This window comes from Homo sapiens, chromosome 5 (genome assembly GCF_000001405.40).
Source record: "Homo sapiens chromosome 5, GRCh38.p14 Primary Assembly".
Taxonomy (NCBI): domain Eukaryota; kingdom Metazoa; phylum Chordata; class Mammalia; order Primates; family Hominidae; genus Homo; species Homo sapiens.
In genome coordinates, this window is record NC_000005.10 from 8,824,762 (window position 1) to 8,849,986 (window position 25,225).

Here is a 25,225-nt window from a genome sequence, read left to right on the forward strand (position 1 = left end):
AATCTCCATTACTTTCACAAATTTACTTGTTTTGTAAATATGTAATTTTATGCCACTTCTCAAAAGTGAGGCAAAATAAAAATTTTCAAAGGATAAAAATTGTCAATCTTGACAAGTAAGTCGTTTATCCTGGTCTTTACCAAAATTGATAGGATGGATGAAGCCCAGAAAACTCTGTTAAACCTCTGCCTTCCTCAAATTCTATTGTCTGCTTGTTGCAGGAATATTCTTTAGTTCAGCTAAACAGGGGTCCTTGTCCCATAGCCATGAAAGTTTAGGCTCGCAGGTGGTTTGAAGGGTGTGTAAAGCAGAGTTTTATTGGGTGAAAAGGAAAAAAAAAAATTGGGGGGAAACAGGGACTCTCCACAAGGCCAGAGTTCCTCTAGAGCTTCCCGCCTCGCAGTTTGAATCCCAGGTCCCACACAGGAAGAGAAGGTTCCAGGCAACTCCCTGCTGCAAATTGCATGAACTTCTGTGGCTCCACCCCAGTGTGCATTCCTCCCAGTGTGCAGGCTGGTTCGAGTTTCTCTGGGGACCCCTTACCACCTGGCTGTCTGACATTCACTCAGTCACCTTATGACTCACCAGAGGCTTAAGGGGTATTGGATCTGTGCTACCTCCCAGGGCCACTAAACCAGACAACTGGTACTTATGGAACTCTGGCTCCACTGTCTAAATAAGTAAATAGATAGGGAAGTTAGAAACTGTGATGTGTCTTATAAAGCAACAATGACTGTCCTAACCTGATGTATCAGACTGGCCGCTTTCCCATCCATAATCTCCTCCCTGTGCTATAGAAAGTGAAACTGCAGAGCCTCCATACAGGCTCCAGAGCCACTCTTGGGTTTGAAGTCTCTGGTAATCTCTGCATGTGACCTTGGGCAACTCACTGACAAGGTGCCTCAGTTTTGTCATTTCTAAGATGGGCACAATAAATAGTATCCACCTTCTCATGTTACCATGAGGATTAATGAGTTAATGTATTTACTTGCTTAGAATAATAGCTGACATCAGGATGAGTGAGCTGTTGTTACTTACTATTTTTACCCATGGGAATTACAGATTCTGACATTTATTTTAAAGAGAAAAATTTGGAGAAAAAAGAAAAGCAATCAGTTAAAAGGCAATGACTTAAAGCACACAATTTTGGAACTAAGAGAACCCTAGATACTATCTGATACAAACTTTTCATTTTCCAAATCAAACATAGAAACTATTTGTTTTGTGCTGAATGCGCTCAGTAAATTAGCAGCAGGGCCCAGCTGGGATCAAAAATGTCTATGGCTGGGTCAATGGGCTCCCTGCTGCACTGCAACCTCACTCTATAGAATCTCCTTCCAGAATCCAAGTGAGGAATTTATTTGAAAACCACCAAGGAAAGTCAGAATAGACCAGGTTTACAGCATGTACATTCTGATGGGCTAACTTTCTTATTTTTCTCTCCTATAACTCATTTTTTAAAAAATTTCTAGTTTTCTACCTCCCAAGTAAAGCAGGAAGAATTACTCGTTATCAGCTGTTCCAAGTGTGAAGAGACACTAAGTTGTCTACAAACATCTTCTAATCCTCAGCCTACAAAAAAAAAGGCCATCTAAATTATTAATCCTCAAAGTGGTTACCCTCCACAGCACACTAAATTGTCAAAAGCCTATAAATGGCACAAAACAGACATTCCTGTTTTTGCCCAATGGGCAAAAACAGGTTCTCCAACTGTTAAGAATGGCTTTTAGAAAAATCTCTCAAACACCAGGACACACATAAAAGCAATTACACCAAGGAAATAGTTGGAATTGGATGTTCTAGTTCTCATTCTGGCCATTTACCAAGAGAGTTCTAAATAAAATGGGCATGTATCTACACAAAGAAGATTGGGAGATGCATCAGAATTCCCTCCAGGGCCCAGAAAGCTCTGCCCTTTAAAAGTCAGAGAAATCCTTTTGCTTCAAAGGAAATAAAAGTTTATTCATGTGTACCTAGAGGCAGACGGCTGAGGGAAAGGAATTAATATGTGTAGGTGTGGCCTTCCTGCATTCTGATTACTAAAATAAGCTTGGGACTGAATGGAAATCTAGCTCTTATCCCGGGTATACATATCTTGGAGGGTTTTACACCCACCATTTTCAGGGTACAGTTAGCCTTTGCTTCCCAGACCACTACCAAGGCATCCTTTGGTGTCTGGGCACACACTAGCCAATGGCTTTTTTCCTCCCTCCCCAGCCAAATCAAGCCTCATTCATTCCTATTTATTTTCCAAGATGGAGTAGGGGTTTCACTTCTTCCAAGTCATGTTTTCTGACTCTCAGTGGAGCAGGTTGGGGGTGCTCCTGTGTGAGGCTCTGCTCTCCCCTCTGTGCCTTCATTGTCTTGCCTGTCTGCCCCTCCGAGCAGCAAAACTGCTGGTGCATAGGAACTGAGTCCTTAATCTCCGTCTCCCTGGCACCAAGCATTAGTCCTGTGGCATAACAAGTCTTCAGTGGATATTTGGTGAAGTTTTTAATTAATTAATTAAAGCCCAGCCTTTTCTGCCATCTGGAAAAGCATATATACGTATATACCCTCAAGCACATGCATGCTGAAGCCAACTTTTATTACCCACTGAAGAAAGAGTATTAGAATGGGAGTGAGGGTGTTTCCAGTGGAAGGTGTCTAGGTTTTTGGCATCTTGAACAAAGAATTGAACAAAATACACCAACAAAGCAAGGAAACAATGAAGCAACAAAAGCAGAGATTTATTGAAAATGAAAGTATACTCCTCAGGTGTGAGCAGTTCTAAGCACAGGGGCTCAAGAACCTGGTTACATAATTTTCTGGGGTTTAAATACCCTCTAGAGGTTTCTGTTGGTTACTTGGTGTACACCCTATGTGAAGGAAGAGGATGAAGTAAAGTTACAAAGTCGTTTACTTGGCATATGCCCTAAGAAAATGGAGAGGATATTTCCTGTCATTGCTGAAGTGTTTTCATTTGATTTAGTTCTAGGAAATCAGCGTGAATCGGCCTTATGTTCCCTGCCTCCAGACCCTATTCTCCTTCCTCAAGGGAGAACCACATCCTAAGGATAACACTTAAATCTACTTCATTATATATTAAACAGAGATGAATCAGGCCAGAAAGAACACTAGCAGATGAGGTTTGGAGCGAATCAGAGCTAGCAGAGAACTGTTCTGCAAGACACATAGCTGCTCCCAGCCTGGGAAGTAGAAGGCAGAAGCAACACAAATAAGGAACTTAACACAAAAACTGAAAGAAAACAGACTCCAACCGTGAGCCATTTGGAAAACTGTAAGTACCCAGAGTTTGTGAGGGAGATAAACTGCCTTTATACACTCCCACCAGGGAACCTGGCAATCCAGGCCATGGGGGAAGTCCTTAACCCTACCCAGCACTGGAGCTGATTTAGAGAGTGGTGGGAGCATGTAAGAAGGAGCGGCACTGGGATATTCTTTGTATGCACTCCCAGGCTCCAGTGGATGTGGAGGGAAGCCATTCCTGATCCAACCTCACAGGGGATGTTTTGGAAGTCTGTCAGGTAACTCAGGTGGTGGTCACATGTTAAAAGAAGCTCCCAATTGAGATTCTAGATATAATCCAGAACCAAAGGGGAAGTGGCAAGTGGGCTGTAAACATGGGCACTGGAGCTGAATGTCCCTGCTTGGCTGGCTGAGCAGAAAAGGCATGGCCTAAAAGCCAAGGATTCGGTCTTCCAGGGGAAGGCATATGGCCTGGGGAAGTTTTGAGTTCTGAGTGCAAACTGCCTGGAACATAGCTAGCTGCTGCTAGAGAAACATTGAGATTGTGAGACCTGCTTTGCCAAGTGTATGGGAGCTAGGTGAGTGATATGGTTTGGCTGTATCCTCATCCAAATCTCATCTTGAATTTCCACGTGTTGTGGGAGAGACCTGGATAACAAAGTGCCTAGGAAGAAGAAAACTTATGCGTGTCCTCAACTATCACCACTGCCTGCATCATCCTGGCTAACCAGGAGGTCCTATGTCTGTCCATGTGACCAGTTCATTACTACTGGCATTTGAGACTTCCTGGCATTTGAGAAAGCCAACACAATAAGGCTGTTTATAACCAAGGAATCTTACAGAGTCTATGTTACTCCCCTGTCACCCCATAAGAGCTGGTGCTTGTTCCCACTGCTGGGAGACTTGAGGACAGGTCACATCACTGGATCACTTGCAAGCATTCCCCAGCACCAGCCTGGAGTGTTGCATTCACCCCATGGGGAAGCTGGACCCAGAGAAGCAGTGGCATTCACAGTAGTCTGTTCTTCAGGGATTCCTACTCCTAGGGGAAGGGGGAGTACACCACATCAAGGGACAAAAAAATACAGACAGCAGGACTTGAGTCCCAGAACTTTCTGCTATGGAAAGCATCTTTCAGCAGAGGCACAAGTGCAGTGCTGGGCTCAGTGTGGAAAGTCTATGGCCCTAATTCAACAGTCAGGCAACCCTGGTGCTTGAAAAGGGTCTTGGAGAAGGTGACTTCTTGTCCCCCTTGCCCACCACTGCAGACAGAGCTAGGACTTCTCTCACATGATCAAGGCTTAGGTACAGCTATAGACAGCCTTTCTGAAACACTTCAGGGTCAGTGCATCTTCACAGGACTCCCCTCCATGTTCAGAGTTGCACAAGGGGTTGAGTCACAGTGCTGCTTTACATCTAACATCAACATTCCTGCAGATAAAAAGAGATGCCTGTCTCAGTTGAAGAGCTGGAACACTGGGTCAGGAGGGTGACTCAGAGGTGGATCATTTTTCTGCTGGCCTGGAAAGGAAGCTGACTTGGCTCCCACACATCCCCCCTGAAAAGATCTCAGTGTATTTCAATTGAGAGCTCCCCCAGCTGCCTCTGTCAAGGCTGGGACCTCTGCCCACCATTGGGTATTGCATTTACCCACCTGATTTAGCCACTGATGTTTTTTATCCATGGACACCTCTCTTACTGGCCTGAAGCCTGAGCTGTTCAACACAGCAAATAAAATACTGGGGAAAAAAATAAATAAATAAATGTACACCCCTGGGGAATAAGATAAGATTCAAGAGGCCTCTGCCATTTCAACCCCACAGAGGACAGTGAATCTGCCCCACACTAACCACATTGTTATTACAACCAGCATCTGAATAAGCCCTCATACAGAGACTCTTTATCACCAAGGAACTCATACATAATCTTCACCCCAAAAGCACCCAGAGTTGAATTAGGTTACAATAAAGTATACTCATGAAAGTCATATCTTCAAGGGAGAAAAAAAAGAAATTAAACAAAAACAGTTGAATTAAAAATAAATTCAAAAATAACTAGAAAAAATAGTCCACTCAAATGAAAAGAAAGAAGAAAAATAATTATGGCAATATAAAAAAACAGGGTTCTATAATACCCCCAAAATATCATGAATGAATAGCAATGACTCCAAACCAAGATGACACCTTTGAAATATCAGATAGAGAATTCAAAATGTTGATTATTTAGTTACTCAAGGAGGTACAAGATAAAGGTGAAAGCCACCATAAAGAAATTATAATGTGAATAAAATATGATTCATATTCAGGATATGAATTTGAAAAATCTAAAGGATAGATGTTTTAAAGCAAAGCCAATCAGAACTTCTGGAAATGAAAGGCACATTTAGGAAAATACAGTTGGAAAGTTTTAACAACAGACTAGATCAAGCAGAAAAAATAATTTCAGAGCTTGAACACATGACATTTGAATTAACCCAATCAGACAAAAATAAAGAAAAAGGATTTCAAATAAATGAACAAAGTTTCAAAGAAATATGGGATTATATATAACAGCCAAATCTAAGAAACATTGATGTTCCTGAGGGAGAAGAAAAAGCAAAAACTTGGAAATTTTATGTGAGAAAATAATTGAGGAAAACTTTTCTGGCCTTGCTAGAAATTTAGACATCCAAATACAAGAAACTCAAAGAACTCCTGGAAGATTCATTGCAAAAAGGACATCACCATGGCAAACAGTCATGAAGCTATCTAAAGTCAATATGAAGGAAATAATTCTAAGTGCAGTGAGACAAAAGCATCAGATAACCTATAAGGATAAACTTATGAGACGAACAGCAAACTTTACAAACCAGATGGGATTGGAGTCCTATGTTTAGCGTACATAAACAGAGTAACTGTCAGTCAAGAATTTTGTATCCAACAAAACTAAGTTGTATAAATGTAGGGGAAATAAAGTCTTTTTCAGACAAGCAAATACTGAGGGAATTTGACATTACCAGACCAGCCCTAAAACAAATGCTAAAAGGAGTTCTACATTTTGAAAAAAAGCTCAATATGCACTAGAATAGAACCTCTTGAAAGCACAAAACTCACAGGACTTATAAAAAAGTGACACAATGAAGAAAACAAAGTATTTAGGTAACAATAGATATCATGACTGTAACAGTATCTCACATCTCAACATTAATGTTGAACATAAATGATCTAACTTAAAAGATACAGATTGGCAAAATGGACAAAAATAATCACAAACCAAATGTCTGCTGTCTTCAAGAGACTCACCAAACACATAACGATTCTTATAGACTCGAAGTTAAGGGGTAGAAAAAGATATTCCACACAAATGGAAACCAAAAGTGAGCAGGATTAACTATTCTTAGATAAACCAGACTTTAAGGCAACAGCAGTAAAAAAAAAAAAAAAAAGACAAAGAAGGTCATTGTGCTAAAAGGAAAGTGTATAATGCTAAATGCCAACATCAAAAAGTCGGAAAGATCATAAGTTGGAAACCTAATGTCATAACTCAAGGAAGTAGAGAAATAAGAACAAACCAAACTGAAAGCTAGCAGAATAAAAGAAATAACAAAGGTCAGAGCAGAACTAAATGAACTGGAAACAAAAAATACAAAAGAACAATGACACAGAAGGTAGTTATTTGAAAAGATACAAAGATTGATAGACTATTAGCTATATTAACTAAGAAAAAACAAGATTTAAGTAAGCCTGATTAGAACTGAAAATGAAGACAGTACAACCAACACCACAGGCATAAAAAAGATTATTTGAGCCTGATATGAACACCTCTATATACACAAACTAGAAAATCTAAAGGAAATGGGTAAGTTCCTGGAAACATATAACCCCCTTACATTTAATCAGGAATAAACAGAAATCCTGAACAGACCAATAGCAAGCAGTGAGATTGAATCAGTAATAAAAAATATTGTCAGCTAAAAAAAGCCCAGGACCAGACAGACTCACAACCAAATTTTACTAGAAATTCAAAGACGAATTGGTACCAATCATACTGAAAGTATTCCAAAAGATTGAGAAATAAGGAATCCTCTGTAACTCATTCTATGAAGCCACTCTCATCTTGATAACAAAGCCAGGAAAGGACATAACAAAAAAAGAAAACTACAGACTAATATCCCTGATGAATATAGATGCAAAAATACCAGCAAACCACATCCAACAGCACATCAAAAAGATAATTCTCCATGATCAAGTGGGCTTTATCCTGAGGATTCAGGGATGGTTTAAAATATATTAGTCAATAAATATGATTCATCACATAAACACAATTAAAACAAATAACTACGTGATCATCTCAATAGACACAGAAAATGCATTCGATAAAATTCAGCATACCTTTATGATAAAAACCTCCAATAAACTAGGCATAGAAGGAACATACCTCAAAATCATAAAAGCAATATATGGCAAATCCACAGCCAACATCATATTGAATAGGGAAAAGTTGAAAGCATTCTGCTTAAGAAATGGAACAAGACAAGGATGCCCACTTTCACTACTATTCAACATAGTACTTCAAGTCATAGCCAGAAAAATCAGACAAGAGAAAGAGAGAGTATCCAAATTGGAAAAGAAGTAATAAAACTATCTTTGTTTGCCAATTACATAATCGTGTGCCTAGAAAACCCTAAAAACTCCTGCCAAAGACTCTTAGATCTGATAAATGAATTCAGTAAAGTCTCAGGTTACAAAATAAGTGTATATAAATTGGTAACACTGCTATACCTCTACAACAACCAAGCTGAAAATCAAATGAAGAACTCAATTACTTTCACAATAGCTGCAAAAATTAAAATACCTCAGAATACACTTAACCAAAGAGGTGAAAGATCTCTGCAAAAAGAATTATAAAGTACTATGAAAGAAATCTGTGAAGGAAATCATAGATGACACAAATACAACTACATCCCCTGCTCTTGGATTAGAAGAATCAGTATTGTGAAAATGCCATACTGCCCAAAACCAATCTACAGAGTCAATGTAATTCCTATCAAAATACCAACATCATTTTTCACGAAATTAGAAAAAAAAATTCTAAAAGTCATATGAAATCAACAAAGAGCCCAAATAGCCAAAGCAATCCTAAGCAAAAGGAACAAATCTGGAAGCTTGAAAAATCCTTCAACTTAAAATTATACTACGAGGCTATGGTTACCAAAATAGTTTGATACCGGCATAAAAGTAGATACATTTGCCTAACAGAATGGAATAGAGGACCCAGAAATAAAGCCAAATACTTCCAACCAAGTAATCTTCGACAAAGCACACAGAAACATAAATTAGGGAAAGGACACCCTATTCAATTCATGCTGCTGGGGAAACTGGATAGCCACATGCAGAAGAATGAAACTGGATCCCCAACTCTCACCATATAAAAAAAATCAACTCAAAATAGATTAAAGGCTTAAATCTAAGACCTGAAACCATAAAATTCTAGAAGAAAACCTAGAAAAAAACACTGCTGGATATTTCCCTAGGCAAAGAATTTATGACTAAAATCCAAAAAAAATGCAAACAAAACAAAAATAAATAAATGGAACCTAATTAAGCTAAGAAGCTTCTGCACAGCAAAAGAAATAATCATCATAGTAAATAGACACCCCACGGAACAGGAGAAAATATTTGCAAACTCTGACAAAAGACTAATATCCAGAATCTACAAGGAACTCAAGCAAATCAGCAAGAAAACAAAACTAAATCGTATCATCAAAAAGTGGAAAATCACATGAATAGACATTTCCCAAAAGGGGACATACAAGTACTCAACAAATATATGAAAAAAAATACTCAACATCATTAAGCATCATGAAAATGCAAATTAAAGCCACAATGAGATACCATCTTAACCCAGTCAGAATGACCATTATTAAAAAATAAAAAAACAATAGATGTTGGCATGGATGTGGTTAAGGGGGAATGCTTATACACTAATGGTGGGAATGTAAAGTACAACCTCTATAGGAAACAGTATGGAGATTTCTCATAAAACTAAAGGTAGATCCACCATTCAACCCAGCAATCTCACTATTGGGTATCTACGCAAAGGGAAAGAAGTCATTGTATCAAAAGGATAGCTGCATGTGTATGTTTATCACAGCACAATTCACAATAGCAAAGATATGGAACCAAGCTAAGTGCCCATCAACCAATGAGTGGACTAAAAAAAATGTGGCATATATACACCATCGAATACTGCCATTCAGCCATAAAAAAGAACATAAGGTATTTTGCAACAACTTGGATGGAGCGGGAGGCCATTATTGTAAGTGAAGTAACTCAGGAATGGAAAACCAAATACTATATGTTCTCATTTGTAAGTATGAGCTAAGCCATGAATACGCAAAGGCACACTGAGTGGTATAATGGACACTGGAGACTCAGAACAGGGAAGGGTGGGAGGAGGTTAAGGGATTAAAAAACTACATACTGGGTATAACATAAACCACTCAGGTGATGGGTGTACTACAATCTCAGACATCATCACTATATAATTCATCCATATAACCAAAAACCACTTGTACACCAAAAGCTATTAAAATAAAAATATATGTTAAAAATATAAGTAAATAAATAAAGGCATATTTTTAAACTATTCTAACAAGCAGGAAATGACTTGTAAAACACCTCATATTAAATTACATTTTATAGGTTTTTCACCAATCTGGGATTGATTAACCAGCACCAAATGATCAGGAGAAAGAACATGCCATGGAAAAGATATGTCCCCAATACACAAGAAGACACAAACATAACTGTGGCTCACACATAAACTGTAACAGCTACATCTCTATTATTGACGCCACATGCTTGCCAACATTGCCTGTGTTAATCATAGAGATAGCTACAAGGGGTGAGAGAATCAACGCTTGAGAAACCCATGTTAGGCCAGGTGTGGTGGCTCATGCCTGTAATCCCAGCACTTTGGGAGGCCGAGGTAGGCGGATCACAAGGTCAGGAGATCAAGACCATCCTGGCTAACATGGTGAAACACCGTCTCTACTAAAAATACCGAAAATTAGCCGGGTGTGGCGGCGGGTGCCTGTAGTCCCAGCTACTCGGGAGGCTGAGGCAGGAAAATGGTGTGAACCCGGGAGGTGGAGCGTGCAGTGAGCTGAGATTGTGCCACTGCACTCCAGCCTGGGCAACAAAGCGAGACTCTGTCTCAAAAAAAAAAAAAAAAAAAGAAACCCATGTTAAATGCTGCTTTACAATAATACAAAGCATCCATCCACCTAGAGCAATATGTACAGGCTTCCCTACAAGTGTTGCCAAGTACCAAACATAGAGAAGTAAGATATATTAAATTTCAGAACTACTTACCGTGTCCATTAAATCCATGTAGATGTATTTGGGAGCCCAGTCTATGCTGTTTTCTTGCCTGAAATTAAAAAGTGACTGTTTATTCTCACTATGGACCCAGATTACAGTCCTAGTTCCCAGCACAGCAATAGGAGCTGAACAAAATTGCTTGAGGAATTAATACCAAGAGAAATTTTACAAGATAAAATGTAAGCTTGAAATAAATGTTATGTCTTTATGGTATGATCATTAAAATGACAATTTTTACATAGACCATTAAGTGCATCTAATGAACACACATGTGGGAGGACGCACCTGTGCAAAGTCCTCCCTCAAAGTCAGGTACGTGCAGAGAATGTCAACTAGGAGACACAAGCCTCCATTCCGAAAAAAAACAGATGTCACCACAGGGCTTCAGAAGCAATGCTGGCAATAAGAGATGGTTTTTTTACAAACTAAATATTGTGTGTTGTAACAGAATTTTTAAATACATATTTTTCTCACGAAGGTCAGTAACGATGGTGTCTCCAGTAGTAATTCAGTCTTTTGAAACTAAGATAATTAATGCTCAATTCTATTGTCATGCATCTGCTCATCAACCTTTGCAAGGGTTGGGGATCACAGCCTTCTCCTCCATGCACAACCCTGCACCACTCATGAAGAGCTGGTCAGAGGGCCTGGAGGCCAGGGCTCTACTCTGGCACCCACACTGCATTGGAGTGCAGCAGATTTCTGCACTGAGCACCTCCTAGTGATGCTGAGAAAGAGTGAGGCACCTCGGCCCTGGTGGTCTACTGGAAAAACCTCTGCTGGAAGCTCCTGAGGTGTTTGAAACAGAGGTTTGCATTCAAAGTGAATACTGGTAAAGGATGAAGACGACTAAAAATGTCAAATATGAAAGCCAGAGTCATCTTTACTGGTACTGTTATAAAACTGGTGTCTCATTAAAGTCAGAGCAACACGTATACGTATATACATACGTATAAATACATAAATTTATACATATTTAAGTCTAAATGAGAGTCCCAGGAGAGGATTCATCTAACTCATGGTTGCAATAATATTGGAGGATGTCAGGGTCTCACTTTCACTTGTTTCCAGGTGAGGTGAATCATTAAAACATTTCTTTTTTACAATGATGACTCCTCTAGGACCCTCCACCCACCTCCCACCACCATCCTCCAAGCCCATGTGACAAGTTTTAATAGCATAGCAGTGACTAGATTTCCCTAAATGGGATCTACTGACTCATGGACAACAGATGAGAACCCTGTCATCTCAGTCTTCTGTGTAAAAACATCATATGTCTCAAAAAAGACATCCGTTGAAACATATTTAAAATATAATAGAACCACTTGGTAGGAAAAGGCTACTTTCCTGCAATATTGTCATTACTAAATTTTTCAGGTAATTTACTTTTTTGGTTTTGGTTTTGATTTTTATTTGATCAGGATGTGCAACAAGGTTGCTCATTTAGTATTCAGATTTCTGATGACTGGAGAGAGATAATATTTTTATTTTTCATATCCATTTCTTTATGTTTTATGAATGCCCATTCATATCCTTTGTCAATTATTTATTTGTTGCTTTTGCTACTTTTTCCTGTATCAATTTTTAGAACCCTTTGTTAGGTGCATGTAATAAACATTTCCTCCCAATTTGTTCCTTCACTTTCTTTGTTTATTTTGATTGTGTTATTGATTCTAGAAAATATATAATTTTATTGAGTTAAATTTGTTATGCCATTTATGCTTTTTAATCTTTTGCTTTCAGTGTTTATGTATATATTTAATTGTGCCAAGTTTTAAATAGTATTGTCTTCCAGTATTTAATGCATCCTTAAAATATTTGTATGCTGTTAGGTGTCTATTTTTTCCATTGGAATATGGAATTAGTGCAATACTTTTATTGAACAGTAGCTATAATATTATGAAACCATGCAGAGATCTCATACATATATTAAAAACTTTGGTCTTTACATCCTACAAGCCCTGAAAAATCGTTTAAAGTTTTTATTAGAAGAAAGACATGCTGAAATTTGCTTTTAAATCTAAAATACCATTCTCCATGGAGTGCGGAAAACAGATTACAGGATTAAGAACACATGTGTTGTTAGGCTGGACTATCTCCATGTTTTTCTCTGGCATTAAATGCCATCATTCTAAGATGAGAGTCTCAAAAACTGGCTTTTTTTCTTTCATATGAGTTACATGAAGTTAACCAAAAGTTACATTCTGTGGAGACACTTCAGAAAATGCTATTAAATTTTCCAAACATGCAAAGAACAGTTTTGAATTTGTAAGATGTCAGACATTCCAAAAGGCTAACAAGTAAGGGCAAATTTAAAATTGGGTCCTGTATCCAATAAAAATGTCTGTATTCTGTGTATAACGCTTTTCGGGATTATGAGATTTCAAGAAAGTTTACGTGACAATTGCAAAGATCATATTGTGTTGCAGATAAATTTAGGATCTTTATGACCCAGGTGATTGACATGTATATGTACACATTATACATATGTATACATATTTTCCAAAATACATATTTCCCAAAACTAAGAATTTAAATAAAGGGTATTTGCTGAAAGGATGGGGGTTGTGTGGGTGAAAAAAGTATTCTCATTAGTTACAATTCAAAATGGTTTTGTTAATTCTCAAACACACATTCTCCCATTTGGTCAATTATGAAGTGCTGTTCTGTTTATTGCTGTATACCATCTGAAAACTAAAAGGATTAAAACAACAATTTGTGATTGCCTTTCACAGTTCTGGAAGTTTATAGTTCAGTTGGACATTTCCCTCTTGGGTTCCTCCATCAGTTACAGGTAGACTGGGGCCGAGGCTGGAAACATCTCAAGGCCTCTTCACCCATGTACCTGACATCCAGACTGAGAGGTCTGGAAAAGCTGGGGTAGATCAGGAAGGCACCTTCTCCATGTGGCCAATTTGGGATTCCTCAAACCATGGTGCTCTCCAGGTAGTTAGGCTTCTTATTTGGCACCTGGATTTTTACAGAGGGGGTGATCTAAAAAAATCACAGCAAATGTTTCACAGGGTCACAGAAGCTTCCTATAACTTAGTCACAGAAGTCACACAGCATCACCACCACCACATTCTCTTGGTTACAGAGGGCTGGCCCAACTTAGCGTGGAGAGGACTACCAGGAGGCATGGTTCATTGGTGCCACCTGGGAGCGTAGCTACTGAGAGGTTATATTCACGTACTAGAGGGCAGTGGAGACAAGAAAATGTGTCACTAAAGGCTGTCTGGGGACTAAAGAAAGTCCTCATTATTTTGAAGAGGGATGTTTGTTACACAAGGGATCCCTGCTATGGTATGTCATCGAGTGGACACCACACAGGAAGCTAGTTTAACTAAAGAGGGAATTCATTTTTTACATTTAACTACTAACATTTTGGGAGAAAGCAAGAAACAAGATGAGCACTGAGCGTTGTTATTATTATTTGAGATGGAGTTTCATTCTTGTTGCCCAGGCTAGTGTGCAGTGGTGCGATCCCAACTCACTGCAACCTCTGCCTCCCAGGTTTAAGCAATTCTCCTGTCTCATCATCCTGAGTAGCTGGGATTACAGGTGCCTGTCACTACGCCCAGCTAATTTGTTCTATTTTTAGTAGAGATGGGGTTTTACCACGTTGGCCAGGCTGGTCTTGAACTCCTGACCTCAGGTGATCCACCCACCTCGGCCTCCCAAAGTGTGAAGATTACAGGTGTGAGCCACTTTGCCCAGCCTGCATTGTTATTTTTTGTTCACAGAGAGAGTAAATAACTAAAATGCTTCTTCAAGTCGCAGGTTACATTTAATAGCAGAAAAAGAATTTCAGGAACTGTTACTTATTGCCAGGAAATAAGGGGCCAGGTCAATGCTCAGAGCCTACCATACCCTTGAAGATTCCTAGCAATTAAGTGAACTATTAATTTCTGGATTCGGAAACCAGAAACAAAACTTTGCCTTCTTTACAGATAAGGGGGACACTGTATCATCTGCTGTCCGGTGTCAAATGTCACAATGAATGGTCTGTTCTCCCCTGTGAATTTGTTCTGTGGTCATAACTGTATACAGGAATCACTTTGGAATCCTCAAAACCCCCGAGCCTTGTGTTAAACCCCACGAGTATTTAGAGTTTTACAACTACGAAGCTGAATGTCGAGAGAAAAAGACAAAGATTCCAAAAAAATGGTCTCAAAGTACCTCCTTGTTTAAGTTGGCTGCCAGGCAAATCAGCTCATCTCCAGCAGAACAGAAGCCGCCTTTTCAGGGAAGCGTGGCAGCTGCCGGCGAACACAAAGCAGCTCTGTGATGGTTGAAGCCAGCAAAGAAAAGCGCCCCCTCCGAGTGGAATCACAGGAAGGAAACCTCCGTGGGCAGCAGGAGCAAGTGCAATCCCTGGAGACGAGTCGAAGGGGCCCGAGGCCCCGAGAAGGGCAGGATGCGATGCTGGGTGTGTGACCTCAGCCATGGAAGGGCCACCTGCCACCGGGGGGCTGGGCCGTCGGGCCTTTGGTTGTGGAGGGAAAAGAGTGGCCACTTGCTGGAGCTGGGAACGTGCAGTGATGAGCACTAGGACAAGAGGACCGTGACAAACAGACATAGAAGGTAAAACTGCCCGAGTACAGGCTGATCCACAGACCTGTGTCCAGGGAGAGGCCTCAGGATGGATTTGGAAATGCAGGACAGGTTCATGAAATCCTCACACACCTGCCACATACTCAAGGAGGGTGCTGTTTACTTGATTGATTGTGCTGGTCCTGAACATCTGACATGATTTGTGGTTATAAATGGGTGTTTGCCGTTAACTATAAGTATCTTGGAGTAATTTAACAAACAACAATAGGTATTGGGGCAGGTCAGCGCGTCTCCACCTGAAAGACAAAGGAAAGCCGTGAACGCAGGACCAGCAGTTGTGGCTCACGGTGAGAGGTGACAGCGTGGTAGCATCCCTTGCTGGCTCTGGGCGCGTCCTCGGCCTCGGCGTCCGCTCTGGCCGCGCTCAAGGAGCTCTTCAGCCCGCCGCTGCGCTATGAGGGCCTCTCTCTGGGGCTGGCGGAGGCCGGAGCCTGCTCCCTCTGCTGGCGGGGAGGTGTGAAGAGAAAGGCACTGGCTGGAGCCGGCGCTGCGCGCGGCGCTCGCGGCCCAGCGCTTGGGTTCCAGGTGAGCTCCGGCTCTGCAAGCCCCGCACTCGGCGTGGCCGGCCGGCGCCTGCTGGGCTTGATCGGAGACTGAATCCCTGCGTGGACCACCGTTCCCTCTTCGCGGGATTGTTGGCCACCATAGCCGATCTCCGTCTCTTTCTCTCTTCCCCTCTTTTCCTCTTGATTGTCTGGAACTAGCTCCCTCTGGGCTGCCGGATTACCCGGCCCGCCAAGTTCCGCAGCGAGAGCCAGTGAGAGATGATGCCGGCTGGGCTTCTGGGACGGTTGGGGACTTGGAGAACTTTTGTGTCTAACTAAAGGATTGTAAACGCACCAATCAGCACTCTGTGTCTAGCTAAAGGTTTGTAAATGCACCAATCAGCTCTCTGTCAAAACGGACCAATCAGCTCTCTGTAAAATGGACCAATCAGCTGCCTGTAAAGCGGACCAATCAGCAGGATGTGGGTGGGGCCAAATAAGGGACTAAAAGCAGGCCACCAGAGCAGGCCGCTGCAGCTTGCTCGGGTTCTCTCTCTGCTCTGTGGAAACGTTGTTGTTTAGCTCTTTGCAGTGAATCTGGCTGCTGCTTATTGTTTGGGACTGTGCCACCTTTTTTTTTTTTTTTTTTTTTTTGAGACAGATTCTTGTTCTGTCTCTTAGGCTGGAGTGCAGTGGCGTGGTCTCGGCTAACTGCAAGCTCCGCCTCCCAGGTTCACGCCGTTCTCCTATTTCAGTCTTTCCGGTAGCTGGGACTACAGGCGCCCACCACAATGCCTGGCTAATTTGCGCCATCTTTAAGAGCTGTAACACTCACCGCTAAGGTCTGCAGCTTCACTCCTGAAGCCAGCCAGACTACGAACCCTTACTACGAACCCATCAGCTGGAAGGAACAATTCCAGACAATTCCACACAGGAGGAAGCAACAACTCTGGATGTGCCACCTTTAGGAACTGTACCACTCACGGGAAGGTCTGCAGCTTCACTCCTGAAGTGAGCAAGACTACGAACCTACCGGGAGGAAGGAACAAATTACGGACACACCATTCTTTAAGAACTGTAACAAACCCGCGAGGGTCCGCAGCTTCATTCTTGAAGTCAGCGAGACCAAGAACCCACTAATTCCATACGCAATGGGTTCATTTCTTTTTTTTTTTTTTTTACAAAAGTCTTCTCTGTGCTGACTTAAGGGGACACTTTGTGTCACTTCCAGGGAAGGATGCGCTGGGGTCCCGACATTCTGTCAGGGTCCAAACACCCTCGTTCCTCATCCAGGGCATGGAGCACCTGAGTAGGATGGAACATTTGGGAAAAACCCCACCTCAGTCCCAGGCCCGGCAGCCTGAGGAGATCTAAGGCTGGCTGGGCATTCGAGCTGTAAGAGCAGGGAGTGTTTACTGCACCCAGGAGAGGTGATCAGGACACAATTTCACTATTTCTGGTTGTTTTAGAATCAGGTTCCTTTGTCTCCTTATTTTACCTCAGTTACATTTTCCAAGATCCTAGGACTCACAGAAGGATGCAGTCGGTGGGGGCAGAGTGCTGTACCAGGGCCTCCAGACATGGTTTCTAGACACTGGCTCATGTGATGGCACCAGGGCCCCCAGCCATGGTTTCTAGACATTTGGTCATACCATGGCCTTGGTTGATGACCCCATCCATCGGATTTCATCCTCCTCAAAACGAAACAGAAGGTTTAGCCCAGCAGATCTCTGGAGTCTGTGATTTTCAGATGAGAGCCCAATTGATGGTGAAGCATAACAAGAGTACGGTTGATTTCATTCCTTCAGCATTCACTTATTCCATGTGTGTGTAAAGCCTGATCTGTGTTGGAGAGCTCAGCATGCAGACATGACGTGATGGAGCTGTGGCTCTACAGTTACCCCTCACCATAGTAAACAGATGCACAATTACTTTTGATTATGTTCGTGTAATAAAGGTAGTTAAAGTTCAACATTTATCAGAAAAACATATGAGCTCTGACAGTTCATAATTTGACATCATTTAGAACCATGGCCATAAAAGAGTCTGCAGGCACAAAGCCCGTGTCAAAAGAAGAAGGAAAGTGATCAGGTGTCTCTTACTACAGGTCCTTTGCTTATGACTTCCAGAGATTCAGTATAATTGTGCATCAGATAAACGGGCTAGAATAAAGACTCATAACTTCTTTGTCACACTTTTGACAGCTTATTAAGCTCTAAGACAATTATGGTATTTAATTCATTGATTAGGATATGTAAATTATACCCCCAAACCTGAGCCTTTAATAGAAGCATGACAAATACCGCTGTCACTTGCCATATCACATTTTATGTGAGGTGCACAGTCAGAAAAACTGAGGTTACAGGAGTTTAGTTCATCTTCTCAAATTCCCCCAGTTGCTGATTGGTGTCTTTGAATGTCATGCTCTGGTTTTTCTGGCTGAAATATTGGTCTTTTGTTAAAACAAAGGACATCAGCTCCAGTGCGGCTCGTGCACAGGACATGTTATGTCCGGGTGAGCATCGGACCTCCCACTGATGGTCGGCCCCAGCAGCATAGCATCTTGAGATGAACCCCACCAGCTCCCTCACGGCAGCTGCTCCAGCAGCTGATGTTCAGTTTCCTCACTGTCCAGCTCTGCCCTGTGCTGCCTCTGCTGCCCTCTGGCTTGCAAGTTTCTCTCTGCTAGTCTATTTCCTGTCTGTTCTACTGGAGGCATCACCTGCTATCTGCACAGAGTGAACATGGGGTGACTGTCACTTGATTCCATAAGCAAATGTGGAGGGAGAGACCTCACTTGACAAAGAATATCCATACTCAGCTATTATTAGATCATCATGGAGAGAATCAGAAGTCAAGGGTAATTGTAAGTGTCCCAAAAGGTCAAGTTTGAGAACCACAGTCTTGCAATAAACAGGGAGGAGCCCTGAACAGATCAGCATTTGTTGTGCTTAATTTGCCTGAGGCAGCTGGTATGATGAAGTGTCCTGGAGGCTGAGGCTTGAGCAGAGCTCTCACCCCATTCACTCCAGAGGGGAAAGGCAGGCGAGGTGGGGGAAAGGCAGGCAAGATGGGGGAAAGACTGGGACTGCGCCTCCTGTGCCTGCTGTTGGGGCGCAGCAGAGTCCTGAAGGCATGGCTCCTCATTCCCAGTTGAGAACCCCTTTGGCCTCCCTGGGACCCTGTTCCTGGCTTTTCGTTCCATCAGTTGGAATGAGAATGTTTATCAAAGAATGGTACTCACGTGGCTTTCAGATGTCCTTGAAGAAAAGCTGCTTTCTCCATTGTATTTATTGCAAGAGCAGGATCACTTGAAACTTAAAGCTGAAGACTGACACGAGACTAAATTGCACAAGCCATTTCATTCCCAAGTGTCCCAGCAAATACACATGTCAAGTGATGTGAGCAGCTGTGTGTGTAGAGCTGACGCACGTCCTCTCCAACCCTTAGTGCTCCTGTGTGCTAATGAAGGATGCTGAACGCAATCATTATGGTAATGAGGAGGTGGACAGTGCAACCTCCCCTTCCCTCTGTGTTCAACAGCTTCCCACAGGGCAGGCCCCACACGTGCTGAGGCTGAGACCCAAGACTGGTGACTCAGCAGAGCAGACGAGCGTGTGTGTGTGTGTGTATGGATAGTGTCTTTTTGTCACAGAGAGAGGTTGGATATGTGTGTTTCAGATTTCTAGTGCATGTTTGTGATCCTGTGTGACTGTCAGTGTACTTTTGTGAGTGTTTTGTGAGAGTGAGGCCATGTTTGGTGAAAGAATGTGTGACTGTGTGTGTGTTCTGCAGGACGCAGGAGTAAGAAGGGGATGGAGAGAGCCTCTTACAGACTCCCCGGGAAACATGGGCACTGGAATTTCACCCAATCCTTGCATACACATCTTGTTAAAGCCCCACAATGCTCTAAAAAGCTTGGGAAAGTGATGTGGCAACCCTTCAAAATGAAAAATTAGATCCCTGTAAACACAGTGCTCCTAGTGTTCCTTCTCTTCCTTGCCCTGCAGGGCCTTGATCTTGGCGTTGCTCTCAGCTGACTGCATGGGTTCCGTTATCCATGGAAAGAAAGCCAGCTAGAAACAGTTGAGCAGATCTTCTCTCTTTCTTAACTTTCATTTGTCAACCCGTCTTGGCAGTTCCTTTATACTTTCATCCTGATTGCTTCGGGTGAATAACTTTAAAAAGAAATGATTTGGAAAAGTCTGTTTATTAATTTTAGATTCTGCTTTCATACACCCATTAAAGCAACTTAAGTAACAAAATCAGCAAAAAAGCACAGAGAGATTTCTGAATTAGCCATTTCTGTTTTGCCCTGAAGAAATCCCCCATAACTGGGCACCGAGAGGTTGTTGGAAGCTCTAACCAGGGAGCTTGGCTGCCATATGTTGCCCTTGCAGGAAGAACATTCCTCCATCTCCTCCGGAAGTCCTCCTCTGGGAGGTTTTGCTGGGCTGCCAGGCAGAATGGGGAGGAAGTGGGGAGCAGGCAGAGGACAACGGGTGGCACAGCCGCCTCTTCTGCCAAATCTCTCTGAGGAAACAAGTGGTGACAGCTCATGTCCCCCAGACAGCTTCTCTCAGTCCAGGACTTCCTGTCTAAGAGGGAATGCATTCACTTAGGGAGCAAGCAACCATACAGTAACAGGAAGACAGATGCGATGCTGGAACATTCCATGGATGAGAACCTCAGTTAGCGAGTCAAGACTCAAATCTGCATCTTCAGGCTTTCATCTTGAAATGAGATTCGAGTTTTTAAAATATTGTCATCCCATATGGGAGTGCTTATCATTAAGTTTTTTAAGAAATTGTGTCTTATTCTATGAACGTCCAAGTTCACATTAGAAAGACTATTTACTACAAACGTTTGAAACCCAAAGAGCTGTCAGTGGTAGCAAGTCAATGTGGGCGCATTCCTGAGACAATACAGCTGAGTTACAGCTGAGCTATGGCCCTAGGTAAACAAGGGCGGAGACCATTTTACCCTCTACCCGGGCCTCTGTCTTTGGCCTTGGTCTATTCTGCTGCTCTATGCAGTGGCCACTACTGCTGTTGTGTTGGGAGATGACCTACAGGGAGAAGAGTCAGAGCTGAGTCAGGAACCTCTCACTCTGACAGATTGTGATACAACTCTGTTATTCCAAAGTATTGGCTGCTTTTTCTTTCAGGAAAAATGCAAACACCAGTCTTTCATTCATATTAATAGATACATTAATATGTGTAATATGTTTTGATGTCATTGAGCCTATTGAAGAATGTTGCTTATGATCTGTTTCTGTGCGGATTTTCATTTTTGTGATCTCCATGGCTTTCAAATTAAAGCCAGAGCCAAAGAGAACATACCCTGTAATACTTTAAAATGCATTTTAGTGTTCTTTCTGCCATTTTAGGTGCTTGAGATATTTTCACTTCCACAAAAACAGCAATTGCAGCAGGTACTCTTGCCCTGAGATTTTCTTAGTGACTCAGGGCAAGAGTACCTTCTTATAGTAACCTGTAAATGGTCTATCTTAATCACCTGTAGATGGCCTATCTTAATCTTCCTACACCAATACCCATGGGCATGTACTAGTTTTTCTCCAGCCTCAAAAGACAGTCCAAATTCTTTGCTGTTTGGTGTGTGCTGCAAAGAATTGAGAAGGAAAGAACAAACTCAAGATTCTACAATCAGCACTGGAGTATTTTTATTATTAGTTTACGTAAGTTCAGATCATGAAAATTCCTGTATTGCTTTCTGACAACCATGTTTTATATCCAGTGAGAAATGTATCTCTTTCAACAATGCTGAGAACAAGTTGAAGTGTCTTTGATTTTTTTCATTCATTAAACGGAAAGCAGGTTGTTAGCTCTGAACAAATGCTGAAACTAATCACTAAATATTTTGTTAAGAGGAAAAAAAAAGTCAGACTTCCAAAGTGGTACATTCAGGATTCATGAGATCTAGATAAAAACAAGTGACTTTAGTGAAAGCTAGGGCTAAATTTTAAAATGTGTGTTCTGACATGGTAGAAAAGATTTTGGTTTTTGAATGTTTGGAAAATATAAGTACAGCCTGTGTTACCGTACCAATACAAAAGCTTGAAAAATCTTTTTAAAATCTACAAAACAAGCAAATTTATAATTAATAAATCATAAACTGTTATTTTTACATATCTAAATAGGGATATACTTATTTAAATATAATTAAAAATAAGAGTATTTATTATATTGCTTAAATTAAGCACAACTATTTTAGTTTTGTTTTCACTGGTCCCATATTGTTTTGCACAACTTGATATTGGCTCTTTGTTCTGAAAAAAGTAACTGACTTTGAAGACTTCAGAAGATTAGTTCAGAAGAATCTTGCCTATACTCAGAAAACCATTGTCTCTGAGGCAAATTTACTACTCCCAAGCATACCCCTTCTTGCTGCTGCATTTTAAGCCAAAATATAAGGTTGCTTAGTAGAAGGTGAACTGTACTGCTTAGATATTCCAATTGCTCTGTAACAAAAGAAGAATGAAGTAAATGTAGGTATTATAACTGTTTTACTATTGCTGCCATGGCAGATTACCACACACTTGGAGGCTTAAAACAACAAATTTATTGTTTCCTAATTTTATAGAGCAGAAATCTAGGTAGCTTGGCTGATGTTTGTGCTCCTGGTCTCAGAAGTCTGAAATCAAGATGTCTACAGAGCTGTGTTCCTTCCTCGAAGCAGTGGAGAATCCACTTGTAAGCTTATTCTGGTTGTTGGCAGAAATCACTTCCAGGTGGATGTAGCACTGAGGTCCCCATTTCCTTCCTAGCTTTTTGGGAGATATTCTAAGCTTCTAAAGGACACCTGAATTCTCTGGCTTATCACCTCCCTCCTCTTCAAAGCCAAAGTCAAGTCTCTCTCACATTTTAAATTTCACAATATTCTTGTCTGCCTTATTTCTGTGCTTCTGCTGGAGAATGTTCTCTGCTTTTAGGGGCTCATGTGGCCTGACTCTGGATAATCCAAGCTAAATCTCCCCATCCATAAATTTAATTGTATCTGGTAAATCCCTTTTGCCATGTAATGGAACAAATTCACAGGTTTCAGGAGCCAGGGCATGAACATCTTTGGGGAGCTGTTACTTTTTCTAACTGGAACTATTTTAAAGTAATACAGAAGGTCTAGCAATTGTCCCCATATAATTATCTGCCATTCTGAAATGAAATACTAGAACTTTGAGTTTAAATTATTGGGAATTAGTTAATACTGAGCTATACTGTTTAAATATTTTGGTAAGGCGATATTTCTCATGTCGGCACCATTTCCTTAGGTTTCTTACTCCATACGTGCATATTTTCTATATTTGTATTCTATGTAAAATACTATATATACTTATAATTAGCATATGTATATATGAGTGTACGTACTAAGGGTGTGAATTAATGGTCACTGAAAATTTACCTGTATTAAGTATTTAAATTTCTCATGATTCTTTTTCCTTTTTACTGCTCTTGGTATTTGCTGATTGTCTTTTGTTCATGTGATCATTTATTTTTAGAATTAGCATTTATTAGCTAAGTCATTAGTAAAACTGTTAAAGGTAGTTTCACTGGAGGAAACATACCTGCATTACACATGTGAAAAAAGTCTTGCTCTTTTCTATCTATTTTCCCCAATGATGTAATGGACTATCTTAGAACTCTTACACAATGTAATACCTTAGCCCTCAACCCAAATTCTACAATTACTCAAATTGAAAGGGAAGATGAAAGATGATAATGATTTGTATTTGCTTTATAGTGTGATCCACTTTTTTAAAGGCACAAACTTTTTGTATTCCTATTTACTAGAATCATGTATTTAACTTTCAAATCGCAAACTGGGTTGATTCCTTCTTTTTAAAACCACTTTAGGGGGGAATTATTGATATATAAAAAATGGCACACATTTAATGTGTACAACTTGGTGAATTTGGAGATAAATATACACCCATGAACCGTCACCACAGTCTTTATCATAAAGATACCCATTACCTCCTAAAGCTTCCTCCTGCCTTCTCTATTATTATTTCTTTTGTCCTCATAGATCCCCCTGCCGAGAGAGCCCGACAGCTGCCCCAACCACCCATGGGTTGATTTGTAAGAAGCATATTGGAATACGGTCCTGCAGACAATAGACAGTTGCAAAATCAGGACCTGACGCTAATCCCCACTGCTTCAGAAATCTTCATTCCAAATCAACGAAAAAAGAGCGCAAACCCCAAAAAGACCTGCACTTCATAGAATGGCTTTGGCTTTTATCAAGCCACAGAGAAAATATATCAAAACCCTTGAGAATCCAAGCAATTTTTTTGTTGCTCTAAAATTTGTCACAGTTAACATCAGAGAAGAGAAAACTTGTCTCGTTCAGGCCTACTTTCTAAAGAAAGCAGTGAAATTCAGGTCAAAATACTACCAATACTGGTTATATTCTTTTATTCTTTTTCTTTAAAAAAAGTAAATTCTATTTTCACAACAGCTTGCAATTTCTGATCAAAATAAAATGCTGATATTTAACTCATTTCCTGTAGAATGTTTCTAATGTAAGATAAATTCAGAGAAAAACACACTGAAATTAATCTATTCTAATCCACTGCTTAGCAAAAGGAAAGATTAACCAAAAAGAAAAGTACAGTGCTAAATGTTAAATGAAAAAAAAATCACCACAGAAATGACAAAAAGGAAATATTAAATACAAGAAAATCTGCCCTGAGCAAACATCGTATAAAATCATGATGTCATGATTTTATAGCATTTCCAATATCAATTGTAAAACTCTTAATTGTCTTTAATATTTTAAAAGGAGTTTAAAAATTCAGGCAAAGTGGAGAGGAAATTCCACAAATGGAGTCTCACGCCATTGACTTTGGTGCCAGAACTGGCATCAGGGACTCAGCCTCATTGTTTATGCAATGAATCAGATGCTACTCTGCCTTGATCCAAGTGCATGACAACAACCGTAGGTGGGTGACATCACCCAGGGTAGGCTGAGGGCAGAGCCTACATTTAGTAGACATAACTCCTGATGCTTCCCTTGGCTGTGACATTTTCTCAGATTTCCCTTGTTTTTAATGACTTCCACAGTTGTGAAGAACATTGGTCAGGTATATGGTAAAATCCCTCCTCTCCATTGGGACTTGACAGATGTTTTGCTTTTGATTAGATTGAAGTTGTGGGTTTGGGGAAGGAAGACTACAAAAATGAAATGCCATTTTCATCACATCTTATCAAGGGTCCTTCCTTCCTTCCTTCCTTCCTTCCTTTCTTTCTTTCTTTCCTTCTTTCCTTCTTTCTTTCTTTTTGCGATGGAGTCTCTCTCTGTTACCCAGGCTGGAGTGCAGTGGGTCCATCTTGGGTCACTGCAACTTCCACCTCCTGAATTCAAGCAATTCTCCTGCCTCAGCCTCCCGAATATCTGGGATTACAGGCACCTGCCACCACGCCCAACTAATTGTATTTTTAGTAGAGATGGGGTTTCACCATGTTGGCCAGCCTGGTCTTGAACTCCTGAAGTGTT

General features: G+C 40.9%; 2 long non-coding RNA genes across 7 annotated transcripts in view, besides 1 other annotated feature; one reads left to right on the forward strand and one right to left on the reverse strand.

The window, feature by feature from the left end:
- The window catches only part of LOC101929307 (uncharacterized), an 88,088-nt gene extending 68,358 nt beyond the window's left edge, over window positions 1-19,730 (reverse strand). For 2 of the 6 annotated variants that reach the window (XR_007058687.1, XR_007058685.1), the window contains exons 1-2: window positions 18,957-19,730; window positions 10,605-10,662 (exon numbers count right to left, since the gene is read on the reverse strand). This is a non-coding gene — a long non-coding RNA (uncharacterized LOC101929307). Of the gene's footprint in view, window positions 1-1,276; window positions 4,681-10,604; window positions 10,663-14,792; window positions 18,718-18,956 lie in introns of those variants that run through there. The other 4 variants (XR_925772.4, XR_925771.3, XR_007058686.1 and 1 more) reach the window with 3 other exon arrangements.
- Window positions 4,021-5,220: an enhancer, noted in NCBI's record as "MED14-independent group 3 enhancer chr5:8828894-8830093 (GRCh37/hg19 assembly coordinates)". NCBI's record gives its function as "activates an origin of replication core promoter dependent on BRD2, BRD4, P300/CBP and CDK7 cofactors, and independent of MED14, by STARR-seq in HCT116 cells {active_cell/tissue: HCT116}" and the evidence as "EXISTENCE:reporter gene assay evidence [ECO:0000049][PMID:35650434]".
- The window catches only part of LINC02199 (long intergenic non-protein coding RNA 2199), a 41,794-nt gene continuing 31,539 nt past the window's right edge, over window positions 14,971-25,225 (forward strand). The window contains exon 1 of the long non-coding RNA NR_109932.1: window positions 14,971-15,197. This is a non-coding gene — a long non-coding RNA (long intergenic non-protein coding RNA 2199). The remainder of the gene's footprint in view (window positions 15,198-25,225) is intronic.